The sequence below is a fragment of the Homo sapiens genome, chromosome 12 (genome assembly GCF_000001405.40).
Source record: "Homo sapiens chromosome 12, GRCh38.p14 Primary Assembly".
NCBI lineage: Eukaryota > Metazoa > Chordata > Mammalia > Primates > Hominidae > Homo > Homo sapiens.
In genome coordinates, this window is record NC_000012.12 from 94,354,043 (window position 1) to 94,378,169 (window position 24,127).

General features: G+C 37.3%; 1 protein-coding gene and 1 pseudogene across 36 annotated transcripts in view; one reads left to right on the plus strand and one right to left on the minus strand.

The window, feature by feature from the left end:
* Positions 1-24,127, minus strand: part of CEP83 (centrosomal protein 83) — a 194,793-nt gene that overhangs the window by 88,381 nt on the left and 82,285 nt on the right. For 28 of the 36 annotated variants that reach the window (XR_007063082.1, XR_007063081.1, XR_007063083.1 and 25 more), the window contains 4 exons: positions 21,844-21,975; positions 15,880-15,994; positions 14,015-14,159; positions 13,752-13,901 (listed from right to left, as the gene is read on the minus strand). The exons of 1 other annotated variant lie outside the window; for it this stretch is intronic. Coding sequence is in view for 28 of the 35 variants with exons in the window: in XM_047428923.1 (XP_047284879.1) it covers positions 13,752-13,901; positions 14,015-14,159; positions 15,880-15,994; positions 21,844-21,975 (542 nt within the window). In the remaining 7 variants the exon portion in view is untranslated. Of the gene's footprint in view, positions 1-12,727; positions 12,793-13,751; positions 13,902-14,014; positions 14,160-14,352; positions 15,995-21,843; positions 21,976-24,127 lie in introns of those variants that run through there. 7 more of the 36 variants (NR_144441.2, NM_001368042.1, NM_001346462.2 and 4 more) reach the window with 2 other exon arrangements.
* On the plus strand, positions 7,178-7,484 carry RN7SL330P (RNA, 7SL, cytoplasmic 330, pseudogene; annotated as a pseudogene).

Below are 24,127 nucleotides of genomic sequence, written 5' to 3' on the forward strand. Positions count from 1 at the left end.
GTAGAGGATTTCAATACCCCACTCTCTGCATTAGAGAGATCACCTAGAAAGAAACATAGATTTAAACTACACTGTAGACCAAATGGACTTCACAGACACTTGTAAAACATTTCATCCAGTAGCTGGAGAATGCAGAGTACTCATTCTTCTTCTTCTTTTTTTTTTTGAGATGGAGTCTTGCTCTGGCACCCAGGCTGGAGGGCAGTGGCACAATCTCGGCTCACTGTAACCTCTGCCTCCTGGGTTCTTGTGCCTCAGCCTCTCGAGTAGCGGGGATTACTGTCACGCACCACCAAACCCAATCAATTTTTTTCTGTATTTTTAGTAGGGACAAGGTTTCACCATTTTGGCCAGGCTGCTCTCCAACTCCTGACCTCAAGTGATCTGCCCACCTTGGTCTCCCAAAGTGCTGGGATTACAGGTATGAGCCACCATGCTTGGCCAGAATATTCACTCTTTTTATCAGAACATGGAGCATTCCACAGGACAGACCATATGTTAGGCCACAAAACAAGTCTCAATAAATTTTTAAAAATCAATATATCAAGTATATTTTCTGACAACAGCAGTATAAAACTAGAAATCAGTAACAAGAAGAACTCTGAAAGGTGTACAAATACATGAAAATTAAATAACATGCTCCTGAATGACCAATGAGTCAAGGAGGAAATTAAAAAATTAACTGAAGGCCGGGTGTGGTGGCTCACACCTGTAATCCCAACACTTCAGCAGGCTGAGGCAGGAGGATCACAAGGTCAAGAGATCGAAACCATCCTGGCCATCATGGTGAAACCCTGTCTGTACTAAAAATATAAAAATTATATGGGCGTGGTGGCACACGCCTTGCTACTCGGGAGGCTGAAGCAGGAGAACTGCTTGAATCTGGGAGGTGGAGGTTGCAGTTAGCTGAGATCGTGCCACTGCACTCCAGCCTGGCTACAGAGTGAGACTCCGTCTCAAAAACACAAAACAAAAAAAAACAGAAAAATTTCTTAAAAACAAATAAATAAAAATAAAAATGCAACATACCCAAAACCTATGCAATGAATACCACAAAAGCAGAATTAAGAGTGAAAGTTTATAGCAATAAATGCCTACATCAAAAAAGTACAGAAACTTCAAATCAACAACATAATCATGTTCCCCAGGGAACTAGAAAAACAAGAACAGGCCGGGCACAGTGGCTCACACCTGTAATCTCAGCACTTTGGGAGGCCAAGGCGGGTGGATCACGAGGTCAGGAGATCGAGACTATCCTGGCTAACACCGTGAAACCCCATCTCTACTAAAAATACAAAAAATTAGCCAGGCATGGTGGCAGGTGCCTGTAGTCCTGGCTACTCAGGAGGCTGAGGCGGGAGAATGGCGTGAACCCAGGAGGCAGAGCTTGCAGTGAGCAGATCGCACCACTGCACTCCAGCCTGGGCAACAGAGCGAGACTCCGTCTCAAAAAAAAAGAAAAGAAAAACAAGAACAAACAAAGCCCAAAGTTAGTAGAGAGAACTAAAACGTAAAAATCAGTACAGAAACTTACAAAAAGATGTTGGGAGCAAGCCCCCCAAAGTCTGGCCATAAACTGGCCCCAAAACTGGCCATAAATAAAATCTCTGCAGCAATGTAACATGTCCATAATGGCCATAATGTCCAAGCTGGAAGGTTGTGGGTTTACAGGAACGAGGGCAAGGAACACCTGGCCCGCCCAGGGTGGAAAACCGCTTAAAAGCATTCTTAAGCCACAAACAAAAGCCTGAGCATCTGTGTCTTAAGGGCGTATTCCTGCTGCAATTAATTCGGCCCATCCTTTCGTTTCCCTTAAGGGGTACTTTTAGTTAATTTAATATCTATAGAAACAATGCTAATGACTGGTTTGCTGTTAATAAATATGTGGGTAAATCTCTGTTCAGGGCTCTCAGCTCTGAAGGCTGTGAGACCCCTGATTTCCCACTTCACACCTCTATATTTCTGCGTGTGTGTCTTTAATTCCTCTAGTGCCGCTGGGTTAGGGTCTCCCCTACCAAGCCTGTCTCGGCAAGTGGCGCCCATTCATGGGGGCTCGAATCCAGGTCGAAGGGTCGCCAGAGCGACGGCTGGGAACAGAAAACTAGCTGGAGGACACCCGAGTACTCTTAAAGCAATCCCTGTGGTGAGTAAGAAGGGGAGCTCTGAAGCATCAGGGTAACAATGGGATAGGTATGGGGTCTGGTTCGTTTCATCTTAGAACTTTTTCACACTGATAACAAGGAGGAACAAGAGTATAGTGAAGTAACAGAAGAGGTTACAGAGCATGTTTATTTGCCAGCTAAAGCTAAAGCGGCAAAGGAAGGACAGGTTCATCCCTACCCTTCTGCACCCCCTCATTATTTTTTGAGGAAAATGACCCCCCAGATCTTTCTTTTCCAGAGGACACTGGGTGAAAAATAGCTGCCCCAGTGACTGTTCGAGCAGCGCCTCGAGCGATGGCTCTTAGTTCTATTAGGCAGGAATTCGGCAAGCTAGACAAGAGGGTGATTTAGAGGCTTGGCAGTTCCCTGTTAGAATACATCCCCCAGATCAAGAGGGAAATATTACAGCTATATTTGAGCCTTTTCCTTTTAAATTACTTAAAGAACTAAAACAAGCAATAAGTCAATATGGACCAGGTTCTCCTTTTGTAATGGGACTGTTAAGGAATGTTACTGTTTCCAGTCGGATGATTCCTACTGACTGGGACGCTCTTACTCGAGCTTGTCTAACTCCTGCTCAGTTCTTACAATTTAAAATTTGGTGGGCAGATGAAGCTTCCATTTGGGCTGCTCGCAATGCCCAGGCCCAACCTCAAATTAATATAACTGCAGACCAACTTTTGGGGGTTGGCGGCTGGGCTGGTTTAGATGCACAACTGGTCATGCAGGATGATGCCATAGAACAACTTAGAGGTGTGCACATTAGAGCTTGGGGAAAAAAAATCACTTAATGTGGGGAACAATACCCTTCCTTTAGTGCTATAAAACAGGGACCAAGGGAACCATATGTTGATTTTATAGCTCGGTTACAGGAGTCTCTTAAAAAGATGATTGCAGATTTGGCTGCTCAGGATATAGTGTTGCAGTTATTAGCTTTCCACAATGCTAATCCCGATTGCCAGGCTGCTCTGTGACCTATCAGAGGGAAAACACATTTAGTTGATTATATCAAGGCCTGTGATGGTATCGGAGGTAATCTGCATAAAGCTACCTTGTTGGCACAGGCAATGGCAGGACTGAGAGTGGATAAAGGAAATACTCCATTTCCTGGAGCTTGTTTTAACTGTGGGAAGCATGGTCATACTAAAAAAGAATGTAGAAAAAATCAGCGAGTCAGGCCACCAGATAGGGGAAAAAAGAAAACTGTTGAGCCAGAAATATGTCCAAAATGTAAAAAAGGAAGACACTGGGCTAGTCAGTGTCACTCTAAGTTTGATAAAGAAGGGAATCCGATTTCGGGAAATGCCATGAGGGAGCCGTCTCGGGCCCTGTTCTAAACCGGGGCATTTCCAGCACAGGCCATTCCCTCACCCCTGTACAATGTCTGTCCCCTGCCACAGCAAGTAGTTCCACAGTAGATTTATGCTGCACAAAAGCTGTGAGCCTTCTGCCTGGGGAACCCCTGCAAAAGGTCCCAACAGGAGTCTGTGGACCCTTGCCAGCAGGGACTATAGGATTACTTTTAGGAAGGTCTAGTGTAAGTTTAAAAGGTGTACAAATACATACAGGAGTCATTGATTCAGATTATAATGGGTATATTCAAATTGTTATATCTACTTCTGTTCCCTGGAAAGCAGAGCCAGGAAAGCACATAGCACAGCTCCTGATTGTGCCGTATGTGGGAATGGGAAAAAGTGAAATTAAACGAACAGGAGGATTTGGAAGCACAAATAAACAAGGCAAAGCAGCTTACTGGGTAAATCAAATTACTGATAAATGTCCTACCTGTGAAATAACTATTGAAGGAAAGAAATGTAAAGGTTTGGTAGATACAGGAGCAGACATTTCAATCATTTCTCTACAGTACTGGCCATCCACGTGGCCAATTCAACCTGCTCAATTTAACATAGTTGAAGTTGGTAAAGTCACTGAAGTATATCAAAGTAGTTATATTTTGCATTGTGAGGGGCCCGATGGACAACCTGGGACTATTCAAGCAATTATAACTTCTGTACCTATAAACTGATGGGGAAGAGATTTATTACAACAATGGGGAGCACAAGTTCTAATTCCAGAACAATTATATAGCCCTCAAAGTCAATATACAATGCATGAAATGAGGTATGTCCCTGGTACGGGACTAGAAAAAAAAATTGCAAGGTTTGAAAGAACCACTTCAAGTGGAAAAAACAAAGTTCCCGCCAAACATTAGGGAAAAATTTTTGATGGCAGCCATTGTTAAGCCTCCAGAACCTATACCTTTCAAATGGTTAACAGATACCCAATTTGGATAGAACAATGGCTGCTAAGTAAAGAGAAACTGGAGGCTTTAGAGAAATTAGTTGCTGAACAATTAGAAAATGGGCACATAGCTCCAACATTTTCTTCTTGGAATTCTCCAATTTTCGTAATTAAGAAAAAATCAGGAAAATGGAAAATGTTCACTGACTTAAGAGCCACCAATTCAGTTATACAACCTATGGGAGCATTACAGCCAGGATTGCCTTCTCCTGCTATAATTCCAAAAAACTGGCCTGATTCCTGCAAGAAGTAGCTCACCATGACAAAGCTGCCCTTGCTTTTATCTCTTTGCAAATCTAAGAAGGGAGACATGTTGGGAGCAACCCCCCAAAGTCTGGCCATAAACTGGCCCCAAAACTGGCCATAAATAAAATCTCTGCAGCAATGTAACATGTCCATAATGGCCATAAAGTCCAAGCTGGAAGGTTGTGAGTTTATGGGAATGAGGACAAGGAATACCTGGCCCGCCCAGGGCAGAAAACTGCTTAAAGGCATTCTTAAGCCACAAACAAAAGCCTGAGCATCTGTGTCTTAAGGGTGTGTTCCTGCTGCAATTAATTTGGCCCATCCCTTCATTTCCCTTAAGGGATACTTTTAGTTAATTTAATATCTATAGAAACAATGCTAATGACTGGTTTGCTGTTAATAAATATGTGGGTAAATCTCTGTTCAGGGCTCTCAGCTCTGAAGGTTGTGAGAAATCAGGGGATTTCCCACTTCACACTTCTATATTTCTGTGTGTGTGTCTCTAATCCCTCTAGTGCCGCTGGGTTAGGGTCTCCCCAACTGAGCTGGTCTCGGCAAAAAGGAGACTAAAAAACTATAAAATATCAACAAAACAAAATGTTGGTTTTTTGAAAAAACAAAATTGACAAAACATTAGCTAGACTAACTAAAAGTGAGAAGACCCAAATAAATAAAATCAAAAATGAAAAAGCAGACATTACAGCTGATGCCACAGAAATACTAAAGATCATTAGAGACTATTATGAGCAACTGTAGGACAACAAATAGGAAAACCTAGAGAAAATGGATAAATTGCTAAACACACAAAACCTATCAAGACTGAACCAAACAGAAGGAAATACAAAACCTGAACAGATCAATAATGAGTAACAAGACTGCATCATCAATAAAAAGTCTCCCAAGAAAAAAAGCCCAGGACCAGATGGCTTCACTGCTGAATTCTACCAAACTTTTAAAAAAGAACTAATACTAATTCTTCTCAAACTATTCCAAAAAATTGAAAGGGAGAGGATTCTTCCAAACTCTACGAGGCCAGCATTACCCTGACACCAAAACCAGACAGGGACACAACAAAAAAAAGAGCACTATGGCCAGTATCCCTAATAAATACAGATGCAAAAACCCTCAACAAAAACACCAGCAAACCAAATCCAGCAACACGTTAAAAAGATTATTCACCATGATCAAGTTAGATTTATCACAGGTATGCAAGGATGGTTCAATATATGCAAATCAATAAATGTGATACATCGTATCAACTGAATGAAGAAAAAACGATAATTTCAATACATGCAGAAAAAGCGTCTGACAAAAATTCAGCTTTCCTTCATGACAAAAACTTTAAAAAAAATTAGGTATAAAAGAAACATACCTCAATACAATGAATACCATATATGACAAAACCACAACTAACATCATACTGAACAAAAAAACATTGAAAGCTTTTCCCCTAAGAACTAGAACAATACAAGGATGTTCACCCTTGTCAATCTTATTCAACACAGCACTGGAAATCTCAGCCAAAGCAATTAGGCATGAGAGAGAAATAAATGGCTTCAAAATAAAAAAGGAGAAAGTCAAAACTGTCCACTTGCAGATGACATTATCTTATATATAGAAAAACCTAAAGATCCCACCAAAAAGCTCTTAGAACTTTTAATTCATTAAAGTTTCAGGATAAAAAAACTCAACATACAAAAATCAGTAGCATTTCTACATACTTAAACTAACTGGAAAAGAAAGAAATCTTCTTTATTATAATTATAAAAATTAAAATACCTATGAATAAATTTAACAAAGGAGGTAAAAGATCTCTAAAAGGAAAACTATAAAATACTGATTAAAGAAATTGAAGACACCAAAAAATGAAAAGAAATCTCATGCTTATGGATTGGGAGATTAATATTGTTAACATGACCATACTACCAAAAGTGATCTACAGTCAATGCAATTTCTACCATATTACCAATGAATTTCTTCACAGAAATTGAAAAAAAAAATCTTAAAATTTGCATGGAGTCACAAGACTCCAAAGAGTCAAAGCAATCCTGTGTAAAAAGAACAAAGTTGGAGCTATCTATCACACTATCTGACTTCAAAATATGCTACAAAGCTGTAGTAACCAAAACACCATAGTACTGGCATAAAAACACATACACCCACAAATGAAACAGAAGAGAGAAGTCAAAAATAATTCCACATATTTACAGATAACTGATTTTCAACAAAAGCACCAAGAAAATACATTGGGGAAAGGACAGCCTCTTCAATAAATGATTATGGGAAAACTGCATATCCAAATGCAGAAGAATAAAACTAGATCCATCTCTCATCATATATAAAAATCAAAAACTTAAGTATGAGACCCCAAACTATGAAACTACTACAGGAAAACACAAGGAAAAGACTTCAGGACATTGCCCTAGGGGAAGATTTTACGGGTGAGACCTCAATAACACAGGCAACAAGTTGGGCATGGTGGCACGTGCCTATAGTCTCAGCTACTTGGGAAGCTGAGGCAAGAGGATCACCTGAGTCCAGAAATTTTGTGCTGTAGATGCTGTAGTGCGCTACTGCAATTGGGCATTCACATTAAGTTTCGCATCAGGATAATGACCTCCCAAGAGTAGAGGACCACCAGAATGCCTAAGGAGGGGTGACCTGACCCAGGTCAGAAATAGAGTGGGTCAAAACTCTACGCTGAACAATAGTAGCATTGCACCTGTGAATACCCACTGCAATCCAGCCTGGGCAACACAGCAAAATCCCATCCCTTATATAAATACAAAAACAAAATAAATGAAACAACTATAACAACAGAAAACGCAGGCAACAAAAGCAAACATAGATAAATGAGATCGTATCAAACCAAGTTTCTGCACAACAAGGAAACAATCAACAGAGTGAAGAGACAACCTATACAATGGGAGAAAATATTAATACCTGCAAACTAATTTTTTTTTTTTTGAGACAGAGTTTCGCTCTTTTTGCCCAGGCTGGGGTGCAATGGCATGGTCTCGGCTCACCACAACCTCCGCCTCCTGAGTTCAAGCAATTCTCCTGCCTCAGCCTCCAGTGTAGCTGGGATTACTGGCGCACACTACCAGGCCCAGCTAATTTTGTATTTTTAGTAGAGGCAGGGTTTCACCATGTTGGTCAGGCTGGTCTTGTACTCCTGACCTCAGGTGATCCACCCGCCTTGGCCTCTCAAAGTGCTGGGATTACAGGTGTGAACCATCATACCTGGCCCACCTGCAAACTATTTATCTGACAAGGGATTAAAATTTAGAATAAACAAGAAACTCAAACAACTGCAAAAAGCCCCAAGTAATTTCATTTAAAAATGGGCAAATGATCTGAATGGATCATTCATGAAAAATTGTTCAACATAACTATTTATCAGGGAAATGCAAATCAAACCACAATGAGATTTCATCTCACCAGCTAGAATGCCTGTCAAAAAGACAAAACAAATGTTGTCAAGAATGAGGAGAAAAGGGACTCTAATACACTGTTAGTGGGGATGTAAATTAGTATAGCCATTAAGAAAAATAGTATGGAAGCTCTACAAAAAAAACTAACAACAGGCCAAGTGCGGTGGCTCACGCTTATAATCTCAGTACTTTGGGAGGCCAAGGCAGGTGGATCACTTGAGGTCAAGAGTTGGAGACCAGCCTGGCCAACACAGTGAAACCCCGTCTCTACTAAAAATAACAGTCAATCAATTAATCAATAAATTAGCCAGGCATGGTGGCACACACCTGTAATCCAGCTGCTCAGGAGGCTGAGGCAAGAGAATCACTTGAACCTGGGAGGCAGAGGTTACAGTGAGCCGAGATCACACCACTGCACTCCAGCCTAGGTGACAGAGTGAGACCCTGTCTCAAAAAAAACTGAAACAGAACTACCACAGGACCCAGAAATTCCACAACTGGGTATATACCCAAAGCAAAGGAAATTAGTATGTCAAAGTGATATCTGCACTCCTATGTTTACTGTAGAACTATTCACAGTAAGCAAGATATGGAATCAACCTACGTGCCCATCAACGGATGGATAAAGAAAATGTGGCATATATAAACAATGGAATACTATTCAGCCATAAAAAAGGATGAAATCCTGTCATTCATGGCAACATGGACAAGTATGGAGGACAATTGTTAATTAAATAAGTCAGGCACACAAAGATATATACTGCATGTTCTCACTCACATGTGTAAGCTAAAAAGTTTATTTCATAGAACTAGAGAGTAGAATAGTGGTTACTAGAGGCTGGAAGGGTAGTGAGGAGGGAAGACAGAGGTTGGTTAACAAATACAAAATTACTATTGGATAGGAAGAATAATTTCTGGTGTTCTACAGCACTACAGACTGACTACAGTTAGCACTAATTTATTGTATATTTGAGCTAGAAGAGACGATTTTGAATGTTCCCAAATCAAAGAACATATGAAATGTTTGAGGTGATTGAATATGCTAATTACCCTGATTTGATCATTACACATTGTATACGTGAATCAAAATATCACACTGTACCCTGTAAACATGTACAATTGTGTGTCAATTAAGTTTTTTAAAAACATGAAATAAGTGCTGGTGAAGATATGGAGAAATTAGAAGTCTTTTGCATTTTTGGTGGGAATTTAAAATGGTGCAGCCACTGAAGAAAATAGAATGGCAGTTCCTCAAAAAATTAAAAACAGAATTACAATATAAGCCAGTAATTCTTCTTCTGGATATACACCCAAAATAACTGAAACCAAGGTCGTAAGGAGATGTTTGTACACACATGTTCATAACAGCATTATTAATAGCTAAAATGTGGAAGAAATCCAGGTGTCCATAAACAAATCGATAAATATAGTATATATGTAGAACTGAAATATTATTAAGCCTTAGAAAGTAATGAACATTAGGGCAGGTGCGGTGGCTCACGCTTGTAATCTCAGCACTTTGGGAGGCTGAGGTGGGCAAATCACCTGAGGTCATGAGTTCGAGACCAGCCTGGCCAACATGGTGAAACGGCATCTCTACAAAAATACAAAAATTAGCCAGGTATGGTAGCAGGCGCCTTTAATCCCAGCTACTTGGGAGACTAAGGCAGGAGAATGGCTTGAACCTGGGAGACAGAGGTTGCAGTGAGCTGAGATCATGCCACTGCACTCCAGCCTGGGCAACAGAGTGAGACGCTGTCTCAAAAAAAAAAAAAAAAAAGTAATTACATCATGCTAAGTAAAATAACCCAGTCAAAAAAAAAAGACAAATACTGTTTGATTCCACTTACAAAGGTATGTAGAGCAGTCAAAAATCCTAAAAGACAGAAAGTGAAATGGTGATTACCAGGGTTTGGGAGGATGGGCTAAAGGGGAGTTATTGTTTAATGGGTACAGAGTTTGTTTTACAAGCTAAAAAGAACTCTGGAGATAGATGGTAATGATGGTTCCACAATATGAATGTATTCAATACCACTGAATTGTACACTTAAAAATAGTTAAGATGGTAGATTTTATTTTTACATGTATTTTAACAATTTTCAAATATTGGAAAAAAATTAATGGAATCCCAATAAAACTGCAAACAAACTTTTTAATGGAGCTAGACATTAATATTCAAGTTGATATGAAAAAACAAACATATAATTATAGCTAGGAAAATACTGAGAGAAAAACTATAAGGACTGAGTACCACAACCAGACATTAAAGCATACTATAAAGCCTCTATAATTAAAGTATCATAATAATGGTACAGGCGCCTAAAGTTCCAACTACTTGGGAGGCTGAGGCAGGAGGATTGCTTGAGCTCAGGAGTTCAGTGTTACAGTGAGCCATGATCGCTCACTCCAGCCTGGGCAACAAAGAAAGACTCTGTCTCTAAATAAAAATTAAAACAAAAAAAATTTTTTTAATGTAAAATGGCACATGAACAGACAACCAGATGAGTGAAACAGAATAGAAAGTCCAGAAATATACCCAAGTATATATGGAAATTTAAAATACAATAAAAGCATCATCATGAATCACTGGGGCAAAGACAGGTTTTTAATAAAAGTGTGGGACAATCAATTAGCCATTTAGAAAAAACTGATCAAATCCATACCTCACAGCATACAAAAGAATACACTTCAAATAGATCAGAGAACTAAATGTAAAAAATGAAACCATACAAGCAAAAAGAAGTGAATTCCTCTTTAACCTCAGTTCAGGGAGAGAGTACTAACTCTGACTTAATACCCAGAGGCAATAACAGATTAAATTTGATTACATAATAAAAATTTTTGCATGGCAAAAAAATAACGGAAGCAAAATCAAAGGACTGCTGACACACACTGGCAGAAAATATCTGCAGCATAATCCTAATATATAAAGAACTCTTAAAAAGTAAGGTAATTTAAAAAAAATTTTTAAGCAAGGGAAAAAAGGCCAAAAAAACCAAGTATAATAGGGAAAGACAAGAACAAACAATACATACAAAAATGATATAAAAATGGCCCTTAAACACATGGAACATTGTTCAATCTCATTTGTAATATGAGAAATGCAAATTAAACTACACTAAGATGCAAAGTGATATAATTCTCTTGGATGGAAATTTGGCAATATCTAACAAAACTGCGTATGATTTACCTTTTGACCCACCTATTTACTTCAGGAATTCACCCTGAAGATACACCTCCAGAAAATGAAAATATTTACATGTACAACATTATTGATTAGTTGTAATCACAAAATACTGGAGGCCAGGTGCAGTGGCTCAACACCTATAATCCCAGTACTCTGGGAGGCCGAGGTGGGCAGATCACCCGAAGCCAGAAGTTTGACAGCAGCCTGGCCAACATGGTGAAACCCCACCCCTACTAAAAATACAAAATTTAGCCAGTTGTGGTGACATACACCTGTAATCTCAGCTACTCAGGAGGCAGGAGAATCACTTGAATCCCAGAGGCAGAGGCGGAGGCTGCAGTGAGCCAAGATCGCCCCACTGCCCTCCAGCCTGGGCAACAGAGCAAGACTGTGTTTGAAAAAAAAAAAAAAAAAAAGACAAAATATTGGAAATTAAATGAACATAGGAGACTATTTCACTAAACACTGATAGATACACATAGTGGAGTGCTATGCAGCCATAAAAAAGAATGAGGCTAATCCCTATGAACTAATCTGAAGCAGTTTCCAGGGTGCACTGATAAGAAAGAAGGAAAAATACAATGACATCTGGTATTTGTGAGGAACAAAAACAAACAAACAAAAAATGTAGGAAGTCTAAACCAGAAACTAATGAGATTAATCTCACATGGGGCAGGATAGATGAGAAAAGATGAGGGAAATGGGAACAGGGTAGAGGAGATGTGGGAAGTGGCATTTTTTTGAAGGTTTTGTTTTTTTGTTTTTGTTTTTTTTTGGTGTATTATAGTTCTGTCCTTTAGAACCATGTAGACATTCCAAATGCCCAACATATTAATAAATAAATAAACAAGGATGAGGTATGGACTCAAAACAGAATAGAATAGAAAGAATAAACCTGCTTTATAAGTGAATAACAAACCACATTAAAGGAGAATTTGGTGAGAAAAATCCTAAGTAACTTTGGAAAATAATATTTTGACTATATACTCTAAGGCTAAAGATAAAAACAACTATACACAAATATTACATGTAAGTTAATAGGTTTGTTTTTCATTGAGTGATGAGTTAGCAATTCTAAAACAACTTTATATTTTAGGACTGAGGAAATAAGTAAATATGGTAGGAATAATGAATGCCAGTTTTCTCACTGTCAAAAGAATTGCAAGTATGAAAAGAGGAAGACCAGAATGAACTCCACGGTGCTGGAACAGAACTGGAAATATCAATGTAAACTCAAGATTATTAATATAGAGAAAAAATAAAGAAATAGATGTAAATGTGTAATTTTCAGTTCACTGGGAGGACCTAGAAGCAATGACTCTCTAGTACCAATAAGCATACCTAGAGTTGAGATTTTGGTTTCTAAATGCCATTCTCCAATTAAAAAGGAATCAAAGCACCTCAGATAAATGTTTAATTCCAGGGCTGGGGCAGGGAAAGTGAAAGAGAATCACAGAACATCCTGTAATGACAGAAAAAAGTCACAATAAATGGTGGGATTATGTCAAAAGGACATGGGATTCAACTTGAAAGATCTTCCAATAGCCAAATCTGAGAAAAGTTAAGCAACAAAAAAAATAACAAAATCTTATAATCTATAGAAAAAATATGAATGTATAAATCCATAATGATATAAATATATTTAGAGGAGAAGGGAAAGCACTTACTTTCAGGAGAATTCCAACTAATAAATGAGGAAGGATCATAGAAATGGAAAGATCACCATTTGGCAAATGCTAGAGTTATAACTGTTTCAGATAAGAATTATCAATGGATACTAAAATTAATGGAAGATTATATAAAGGCAAAATATGAGAATATTTACACAGACTTGAAATATCATATGGGCAACCACAGATAATTATATATTACAAAGGGAAAAAATAGTAATTTTATAGGGGAAAAATGTGGCAGATACCACCTTAACCAAGTGATCAAGGTTAAAATCACCAGTTAAGGGGCCAAATCATGGAAATTCACTGAGGACACATGACTTTGATGTTTTGCTAAAAATGCCTAACCTGAATTTAACCATGAAAAATGCAATACAAAACCAAAATGAGAGAGGATATACAAAATACTGACAAGTATTTGTCAAAGTGTTCATAAGTTCCAGATTAAAAGTAACTAAATGCAACATGTGATCCTGAATTGGGTTTTAGACCAGAAGAAAGACATCAGTGGGACAACTGGTAAAATTTAAGTACAGTTAATAGATTTTATAATAGTAATGCCTGATTTCCTGATTATATTCATGTTAATTTCTTAATCTTGATTATTATAATATGGTTACATAGGTATTTGTATTTGGGAGATCAGGGTGAAGAGCACATGGGAATTCTTTGTACTAGTTGTACATCATTTTGTTAACTCTGACCTTATTTCAACATGAAAAACTTTAAATATATATGTATATATAACCTAACACTCTGAAGCTCCTTCCTGGTGATCTCTTCTGCCATCTGTGAAGCCCGCAATTTCTCTTCATACTGATCCTTTTCAGATTGCCTCCAGACATCATGTTCCACTTTCATTTTCTCCAAATCTGCTAATCTGTTCTCGAGTTCTAACCTAAAACAAGAGATCATAATTATGTTACAAGAACTATAATAAAGATGATATGACAGCAAAATGTTTTCATTTGCAAGGATATTTAAGTCAAACTAAGGTAATTAAGTACTTACTTTTCATCTTGTAATACCACAAGTTTTTGATAACCTTCTTCTTTGGCAGCTTGTACTTTACGTATTAATTCACGATCCTTTTCTACTAAGAGCACTTTGTGATGTTCAACAGCTGCTTTGAGAATTTCATTGTCTGACTGTAATCCTAGTGTTTTTCAAGGAGAAAAGTGTACTATATTCAATGTTATTAAGATGAAAAATCACATTTAACAGCAAGCATTCATAAGCTGGTAAGACAAATGAATGTAGAAAGTCTCTACAAATATATATTCTCAACAATACTCACATCATTAATAAACACTCTTAAAATAAGAATGAAACAGGCTAAAACTCAGAGCAAATTTTCCTGTCACTGTTTATTTAGTGCATACACATATAAAAACTTTAATAAAAGCTGTATACATTTACTCATTCGAACATTGAGAGTTGAGATCAAACTGGATGATAACCAGAGGTTTACTTACTTCACCTCTAAAGAGGTTCTGTGACCTAAGCCTCATAGAAAAAGCTGGCTGATAGCAGAGTGAAATAAATCACAAAACCCTTCAAAACCTATTGATTCTAGCAGAATTGCTAGATCTCTAGCAGAAGTATAAATAACATGGACACTTTCAAGTTTGTACAATGAATTCAGAAATCTTTGCAATGAAATGGCAAATACTTTGCAGATGGAATAACTAAAGCAAATTCACATCTAACTCAAAGTGAAAACAAAATGCAGCATTCTTTAAGTTCCTAAAAAAATTTACTTCTTAACTCTATGGAAATCCATGAGTCAATAAATAGAAATTAACAATTGGAAAAAATCATTCATAGCAGCCAGACACGGTGTTAGCACCTGTAGTCCCAGCTACTGAGGAGGCTTAGGCAGGAGGACCATTTGAGCCCAGGAGTTCAAGGCTAGCCTGGGCAACATGGTGAGACCCCATTTCAAAACATGAAAGGCATTCATCATAAACTCTGTCTGAAATGAGTTCAACTACAGATCAACTCAAGCATAGCTACAGGCCAAAGGTAAGCTTATTTAAATACTTCAAGTTAGAAACAACATAAATAATGAGGAAATCTGATGAGACAGATGTTCCAAGATTAAACTGGAACTTAAAAATAAGCCTACTCGGCTGGGCGTGGCTCATGCCTGTAATCCCAGTACTTTGGGAGGCCGAGGCAGGCAGATCACGAGGTCAGGAGATCAAGACCATCCTGGCTAACACGGTGAAACGCTGTCTCTACTTAAAAATACAAAAAAATAGCCAGCCTGGTGGTGGGCGCCTGTAGTCCCAGCTATTTGGGAGGCTGAGGCAGGAGAATGGCGTGAACCTGGGAGGCAGAGCTTCCAGTGAGCCGAGATCACGCCACTGCACTCCAGCCAGGGGGACAGAGCGAGACTCCATCTCAAAAATAAAAAATAAAAATAAAAAATAAATAAATAAGCCTACTCTGCACTAGGCTACAATGAACTGGCCTGAGGTCTACATAAAAAAATCTTTTTAATTGAAAAAAATTAAGCCTGGAACCCAATTATCTTCCTCACATTCTCCAGACTTAAAATGTCCTGGGACTAATAACTACACCATAAATAGATTTAAAATTTATAAATCAGGAAGTATGGCATCCCATTTACAAAATTCATTTATGTATCCAATAACTATGATAAAAACATAAGACTGATTTTTTTAAAGTTATTAAATCTTACAATGAACAAAACACTCAACATATAATAAACATTTCATATGTACTCCAAAATTAAAACTAAATTAAGTTGAAAATTTGGAAATAAAAATTCAGATTCAACTATTTTAATAATTTGAGTTCATATCTGAAAATAAGCAGCAGCAGCAGCAGCAAGGGAAATCACATATTACCATCCAGTTCACTTTGAATCTTATTCCTTTCTCTTTCTAGCTCACTCTTAGCTCTTGCTGTCTCCAGTTTGATGTCTGTTATTTCCAGTTTGTTTGAATGTTTAAGTTCTTTTACCTGTTGATAATTAAAAACTGAAATTACTATTGGTCATTTTCTTGCCATTCAATACTTACCCCAAAACATAAGTGGAAACAAGAAAACGCTCTGGTAGTAAAGTAGAGTCTAAGTATCTTCCAAGAAGAAAGAAGTGTCAGTGCCTGCAACAGTACTTCAAGTAAGGAGACATTAAGAAAATACTGTTCTTTCCTAACAGAACAGAGGCATTTCTTTACGAATATCTGTGTATGGTCCTTTGGCTTAATCTTGCCTTAAAGACTTAATTACAAGTATCTAAAATCAACTACTCAATGATTGGAAAATCTGCAGGGGAAAAAACCCTGAAACTTTTAAAATTTGTTAATATTTCTAAAAGACAGGGTCTTGCTATGTCATCCAGGCTGGAGTGCAGTGGCACGATCATAGCTCATTTCAACTTCAAACTCCTGGGCTCAAGTGATCCTCTCTCCTCAGCATTCCAAGTAGCTGTCAGGACTATAGGTGCACACCACCACACTCAGATAATTTTTCAATTTTTTTGTAGCAATAGGGTCTTGCTATGTTGACCAGGCTGGTCTCAAACTCCTGGCCTCAAGCAATCCACCTGCTTTGGCCTCCTAAAGTGCTAGGATTATAGTTGTAATCCACTGCACTTGGCCTGAAACCTTCCTTTTAAAAAGTGTCCACAGCTGGATACAGTAACTTGCACCTAAAATCCCAGCTACTCAAGAGGCTGTGGCAGAAGGAAGTGTTTGAGGCCTGGTGTTGGAGACCAGCCTGGGCAACATAGTGAGATCCTTTCTCTAAAAAAAAATTTAAAAATTAGCCAGACATGACATGCCCCTTAGTCCCAGCCACTGGGGAGACTGAGGTAAGAGGATCACTTGAGTCTAGGGGTTTGAGGCTGCAGTGCTATGATTGTGCCAATGTATTCCAGCCTGGGCAACAGAGTGAGACCTTGTCTCTAAAAAAAAATTAAAATTAAATTTAAGAATAAAAAATGTGCTGGGGACAAAGAAGGTATTCTAGGTAGAAGGAACAGCATACAAAATGTTATTATATGTATAACATCACATGGTCTGCTCTTAAAACAAGCTAAGCATTACATGTAGAGCACCGGAAGATGTGAAATCTGTGGAGGAATGGCAGGGAATAAACTTTATATACCATACAAAAGGGTTGTTTTTCAGGTTAGCTGTTGAAGGTGGCACAATTAACTAATGCGAATCTGTTGGCTTAAGAAACTGAAGGTAAATAAATCAATTAAGAGGCAAGAAATGAATAAACGGAGGGGGGAAGGAAGAATCAATTGAATCTGGTGACAAAATAGTGTAATGTGTATAGACTGTGTCTGTGTGCGCATGTGCACAAGTATTAGGTAGGGGATTGGGGGCAGGAACAAGTATAAATCATATAAATTCATTTTCCATAGCCCTTCTCTTTGGTAAGGAGCTTCTAAAATTAGATATAGTCATATAATAAGGATTTAATCAATACAAACACAAAGGTTAGATTAACCCATTTTCTGATATATTATCCAAATATATAAAAGTATGGAATCAGAGTAGGAAACTACAAATACATACACATCAAATACAGAAAATGTGAGATGGCAGAAACAGGAAAATAAAAGACAATTTACTTAAGAGTCCAATAAAACCCCATAAATACTGGAGTTGGGAGTCAGACACAAATCAAAAAAAGGTCCTAGAGCCAAAGAGGGCAAGGATAAGAAATAGAAGTGTCTTATTGGAAGATATTCCATCAACAAAAGGTCCTGAAAACGTTTCAAGGAATAGTTTCATGCAAAATCCTCATCCAAAGGAAATAAACAGAAAAGTGAGTACTGCCTTATGTACTGGTAACTACAATAAGACATCCCTCCAAATTAACTCGTAGATTTTTAAATGACCGTACATAAAATGGTGACCCTGTGCTGACATCAGTTTTGCATTTTTATTTATTTATTTTCTGAGACAGAGTCTCGCTCTGTCGCCCAGGCTGGAGTACAGTGGCTTAATCTCAGCTTACTGCAACCTCTGTCTCCTGGGTTCAAGCAAATTCTCTGCCTCAGCCTCCTGAGTAGCTAGGATTACAGGCATGCACCACCACACCTGGCTAAATTTTGTATTTTTAGTAGAGATGGGGTTTCACCATCTTGGCCAGGCTGGTCTTGAACTCCTGACCTCGTGATCCATCCGCCTCGGCCTTCCAAAGTGCTGGGATTACAGGCGTTAAGCCACCACACCTGGCCTGTGGTTTTAATTTCCTTTTGGAAGTTATTTTCTATAAAAGCAAGTTTTATAAAATGATGTTTACATGACAACAGCTGATAATTTGTTTTAATACTTAAACTTTCTGTAGATTGGATTTTACTACATTATAATTTCATGGACAGATAGAATTTAAATTATAAATACTTTAAAATTTTGAAGAAATATGATTACAAAGAAAATCCAATCACTATGACAAATGTAATTATAACCTGCTATTATATACTAACTGTAAAAGGTTAAGAATGACACAGCATTTCATTAACAAACATACTATAGCTGCATGAGGTGGAAAATTAGAGCCATCTTATTTCATAGGAAGTTGATTCATCTCATGGTAAAAGATCTACAAAAACTTATTTCTTATTCATTTCACCCTGAAATTTACTGAAATGAGACGACATTTTTAACTAAACTACAATTATTGAAACTGAAAGAACACCGAATAGGAAGTCAAGCAACAAGTGAGGTCTGTCTTCAGGCCTACTTTTGCTGTTAAACCAGTGGTATATGCTCAAGCAATTTACCTGTCCTCTCTGCATTCAAATGTACTCATTTATGGATCTAAAGTTTTTCTTTATTGCCTTATTTCTATTATCCTAACATCACTGATGCATCACTTATATGAACACTGTTAATTTCCTAAAAATATACTAAAAGGAATTTTACTTAACGTATGAAAATGTATTACCCAGTAATGACAAATAATAGCACTTTTCTATGAGTAATCTGAACCAAATTCCAAATGTTACAGTAAAGTTTCTTTCTGCCCCTAGATCCTTGGTTCTTAATCTTCTTTGTGATCAAGTCCCAAATCCTAGGAAAATTAGGGATTTTTTTTTTAAATAAAATGCTCATGTTAAAATGTTGCATAAAATTTCAAGCAATTCATGGTCTCCTAAAGCTCCACTGGACCAAGTCACCCTGTTCTTCACAGAATGTTTGCCATATAGATTCTGGCCTTTATGTTGTGAATTTGCTTTATGTTTTGACACAATGGAAGTATTCAGATATTACTAACAAAACTTTAATAAATGTCAAAACTGGCAAAACTGGGCATTTTACAGGGGGTCAGTATCTGTTAAAGTACACATACTCACAGAAAGACACACAAGAGCACAGCATAAATAAGCAAGAAATGGAAATATAATTGACAATATGTATTACCTAAGAAGCTCTGGATACAGATTCCAAAGAGATGGTACTTAAATCTTGATCTTTTTCAAAGTTCTGAGATGTAATTACCCAATTAATTTAGGTAAATAAGGACAACTCTGTTGGGTGGCTTTCTTAAAACTACCTTTTATTGGCATTCTGAAAATGAAAAACCTTATGAGGGAACTAGAAGAATTTACCTCACTGAATGTGAAATCTCTTTAAGGTCATCATTTTCAGGCCATCTTTGGTAATACCTTTTAATCCAAGACACTGATACTCACACTGACATAACTTTGTTCTAAAATCTGACAAACATTTATGAATTTGAGTAACTAAGACAAACACACCCCAGGTGTTCCTTTGCACTGCAAACAACCATTTGCTAGAATTGCAAAATGTTGATGAAAACTTCAAGTTGCAAAGAAAACTGTGGCAGTCATGTTTGAAATATTATTTTAAAATCTACCCTTCCAATGGAATCTTTACATACAAGACTTCAAATGAAACTTGGTTTGTTTAAAGTTGAAGGATGGTATTTAATACTCCATTTATATGCAAAATAAGGCAAGTGTGCCTTTAAAAAGACAGGCAACTCTTAGCAATGTGTATTAATAAACAAGCACAGAGAAATAAATACTATACTAGATTGCTGTTCTTTCTTCAGCGGAGTAGGAGAAATCACCTAGGCTCTAACTCTAAGAGGAAAGAGCAATAGGGAAGAGTATATATATATGGAAAAAAAGAAGAAAAATCAGGGTCAGCACACAGGTGAGCTAGGGAGCTCAGGTAAAATGTACTGCATGAAAAGTATTATACTTGGTGGCCCCCCCAAGAGAGAAGCCACAGCAGAAGCCAGCACATCCCATGTCCTATTGCGACATCTGTGGTTCCAATTATTCCAGCAGTGTAGTCTGGCTACTCAGGTCAAGAACAATGTGCTGCAAATACTACGTACTCAATATTATTTCACAAAATTGAAAATAATTTATACTGGAATTGGAAGAAAAGCATGGAAACTCCCCATATCCTGAATTTACTTGTGTTTTGTATCTATTTTTTTGTATACTCTATAGTTATAAGCTTTCAATGTGTATCTGTTGAATATATAATCTACTTACAGTTAATCAGGAGGCAATCAAATTATTTCCTAGTAGTTCTTACACAGTCTTAGTAGGCTGGAAGGGTTCTTACAGATATAAGGAAATTGGATCCTAATGATATTAGGTAACTTGCCTTAGGTTACACATAGTTATTGAGACAGTGAGACACAGACTAGTCAATGGACTAAAAATTCTGTATTCTTTATGTTACAATATTTTCTTATTTAAGGATATCACCAGTGTATAATCACTGCTATTATCATTTTCATCATCAGCTACATTTAATTTTTGCCACAACTCTGTAATGTAGGTATTAGTCCCATTGCATAGACAAAGGCACTTAAGTTTCAGAGAGACAGTGAACTGCCCAAGGTCACACAGCTTTTTTTAGTAATGAAAAAATCAGAATTTGAATCCAGTCTGTTAAGGAGAATATAAATGTAGATCATGCTGCTACTACTAATTTATTCATTGAAGAAATATTTGAGTACCTACTATGTGCCGGCACCATTCTAGAAGCTGGAAAAGCAGTAGTGATGAAAACAATGTCCCTGCTCTCTTGGAGCTTACATTGGGTTGAGGGGAAGGTGGTGGGAAAGAAAAGGAGAGACCAAAAAATAAAAACCAAATAACTATATCAGATAGTATTAAGAGCTATGAAGCAGGTAAGGAAGACAGAGAGAAAGACAGAGGAAGAAGGAAGATGCTGTTTTACAATGTGAAGACAAGGAAAGCCTCCCTGGTTAGGCAACATCTAGGTGGTGAAGAAGCAAGTTATGTGGATACGTGAGGGAAGACTGAGCCAAACTCAGACAAGTGCAGAAACCCTGAGCAAGATGTGAGTTTGCTCAAAGAGTGAGAAGGCCAAAGGGAGCAAAGTGAACAGGAGGAAAAATACAGGTCATGGCTGTGAAAAGACTGCAGGATCCAGATCATACAGAGCTCTGAATGGGTAGAAAGCAGAAAGACCAGTTAGCAACCTAGCACAGAAATGGAGCCTAGAAAAATCATGGCTTGGACTGGAATAGTCACAGTGGATGTCATAAGAATTGATCAGATTCTGCATGTATTTGGAAGGTAGAATGATAAAGGATTAAAAATATTTCAATACAGAGAACTAAACACAAAATTTGTCACTGTACAGTATCAAGCATTCTAAAGAATGAAATAGAGGCATAAGATAACATACTCTACTGATCAATGTATTTATTTCTTAGAAGGCAGAATGATATAATAAAACATTTCAGTATAAAGAAATCAATTATTAAAAATAAAATTTATCATTATATACTAACAAACATTCTAAAGAATGAAACAGAAACATAAAACAACTTACTTTACTGGACAATGTATTTATTTCTCGTTCAGCTTTATGCAATTTATTAATTAAAAAGGTATTTTGTTCACTGCTTGATTGTAGCTCTTTTTCCAAACGTTCTGCCCGTAAATTAGCTGATTGTTTTTCAGCCTTTCATACAAACAAAATAGTTTAAAATTCATCATTTTTCAAGTATTTCAAAATCAAATAAGCACTATTTAAAATACATTTATAATTATACTAAAATTATTCAAAACCTCAACTTAACATATACCAATGTAACAAAAATTTTCTCAAACTAATTGGCAGAATTCAAACGAAAGATAGTGTTCCAGGAAATATGCAACAAAGGCATCTAGACAAACAACATATGAATGACCATCAATAAAATAAAGTTTATACACTTCTCTCACGACAGAAAGTACCTAAGGCATTCATTTGATGTCTATTTACTCTTAACACTGACTTATTTCAAACATTTTGGAAGTTTCCAGTCTATAACAGATAAGAAAAAGCATATTAGAAACTAGAAGACAGGGCTCATTGATAGTAACAAGTAAAAATTGAAAATCTAAAATCAATGATTTTAAAAAAAGAAACAGGGAAAGATATGATTTCAAAATCCTCAGCTCATCTGCAGACTTTTTAAGTACGAGCAAAGAGGCTCTTGATCTCATGACACAATTAAGATTGTTAATGAAGTCTGCAGGTTGTCAAAAAAGTTTCTGGATGGTAATATCGATAGTACTCTTTCATGAGGGGAGGGAAACTAAAATCTTTTTTGAAAAAACATGTCTATTCAACATAATATATATACATATATACACACACACACACACACACACACACACACACACACACACACATATATATATATATATTTTTTTTTTGAGACAAGGTCTTGCTCTGTCTCCCAGGCTGCAGTGCAATGGCACGATCTTGGCTCACCACAACCTCCGCCTCCCAAGCTCAAACAATTCTCCTGCCTCAGCCTCCCGAGTAGCTAGGACTTCAGGTGCACACCATGGCACCTGGCTAATTTTTGTACTTTTTGTAGAGACAGGGTTTCACCCGTGTTGTTCAGGCTCATCTCAAACTCCTGAGCTCAGGTGATCCAGCTACCTCAGCCTCCCAAACTGCTGGGATTACAGGCATAAGCGACCACACCTGACCTCAACATAATTAAAATGAAGACATTTTGGCATTTAAAGGATAAATTTCAGTTTTATAACATCTCATTTCGTACATATAGATGCTGTTCGACTTATGATGGGGTTACATCCTGATAAACCCATCACAAATTGAAAATACCTAAGTCCATAACTTAGACTAGCCTAACTTAAGCATCCTCAACACACGTGCATTAGCCTACAGTTGGAAAAAATCATTTGGCGACACAGTACTCTGTAAAGAGGTTATTTACCCTCATGACCACATGACTGACTGGGAACTGTGGCTCAGTGCAGCTACCCAGCATTAAGAGTATCACACCACATATCAGTAACCCAGGAAAAGATCAAAATTCAAAGTACATAAATGCATATATGGCTTTCACACCATCGGACAGTCAAAAAATAGTAAGTCAAACCACCTTAAGTTGGGGAACATCTAGCTTAAATGTGGTAAGGACTATATTCGACAAACAATTAGGGAAAAAAACTATTTTCTTCATATATGAAATAATACTCTCTGGGCACAATGATAGCCAAGAAAGTTAAAGAAGAAAGAAATGCTTGCTGTCATACGCTTATTTTCATTTCATCTGACAAATAATAAAATTAAATATAGGCTCTTCTGAAAATGTCACAAATAAATCTTCTGTCATCATTCAACTTGCCCTGAAAATAATCACTCTAAAGGACCTCAATGGAAAGTTTCACATCAGGACTGTATGCTATATTCAACTGCAATCATCTCACTTATTCTGTCACTGTGTAAAATACATTAAGGATGGAAGGATGGCAACATAAATAGTCTCACAATGAACTGCTTCATGTTTAAGGTACAATGATACTGACAACTTTTAATTCAGAAAACCAGTAAATACTGACAGAGCGTCATGTAACAAAATAAAAAGTAACTTCTACTCTTCAAAACATACCATTGTACTCCTGTACCACTGGCTGGGGAAAAAAAAAATCACCATCTTGGATTTGGATATTGATTTTAACTACAAATTAAATGCCCGCTAATGTCCCCCCCACCCAAATCATTTTATAACTATTCCAAAGGAAAAAGAAACACTTTGAACTATACAAAATAAATAAAAACAATTAAACAGGTATGTTTGCTACAAGTTAGG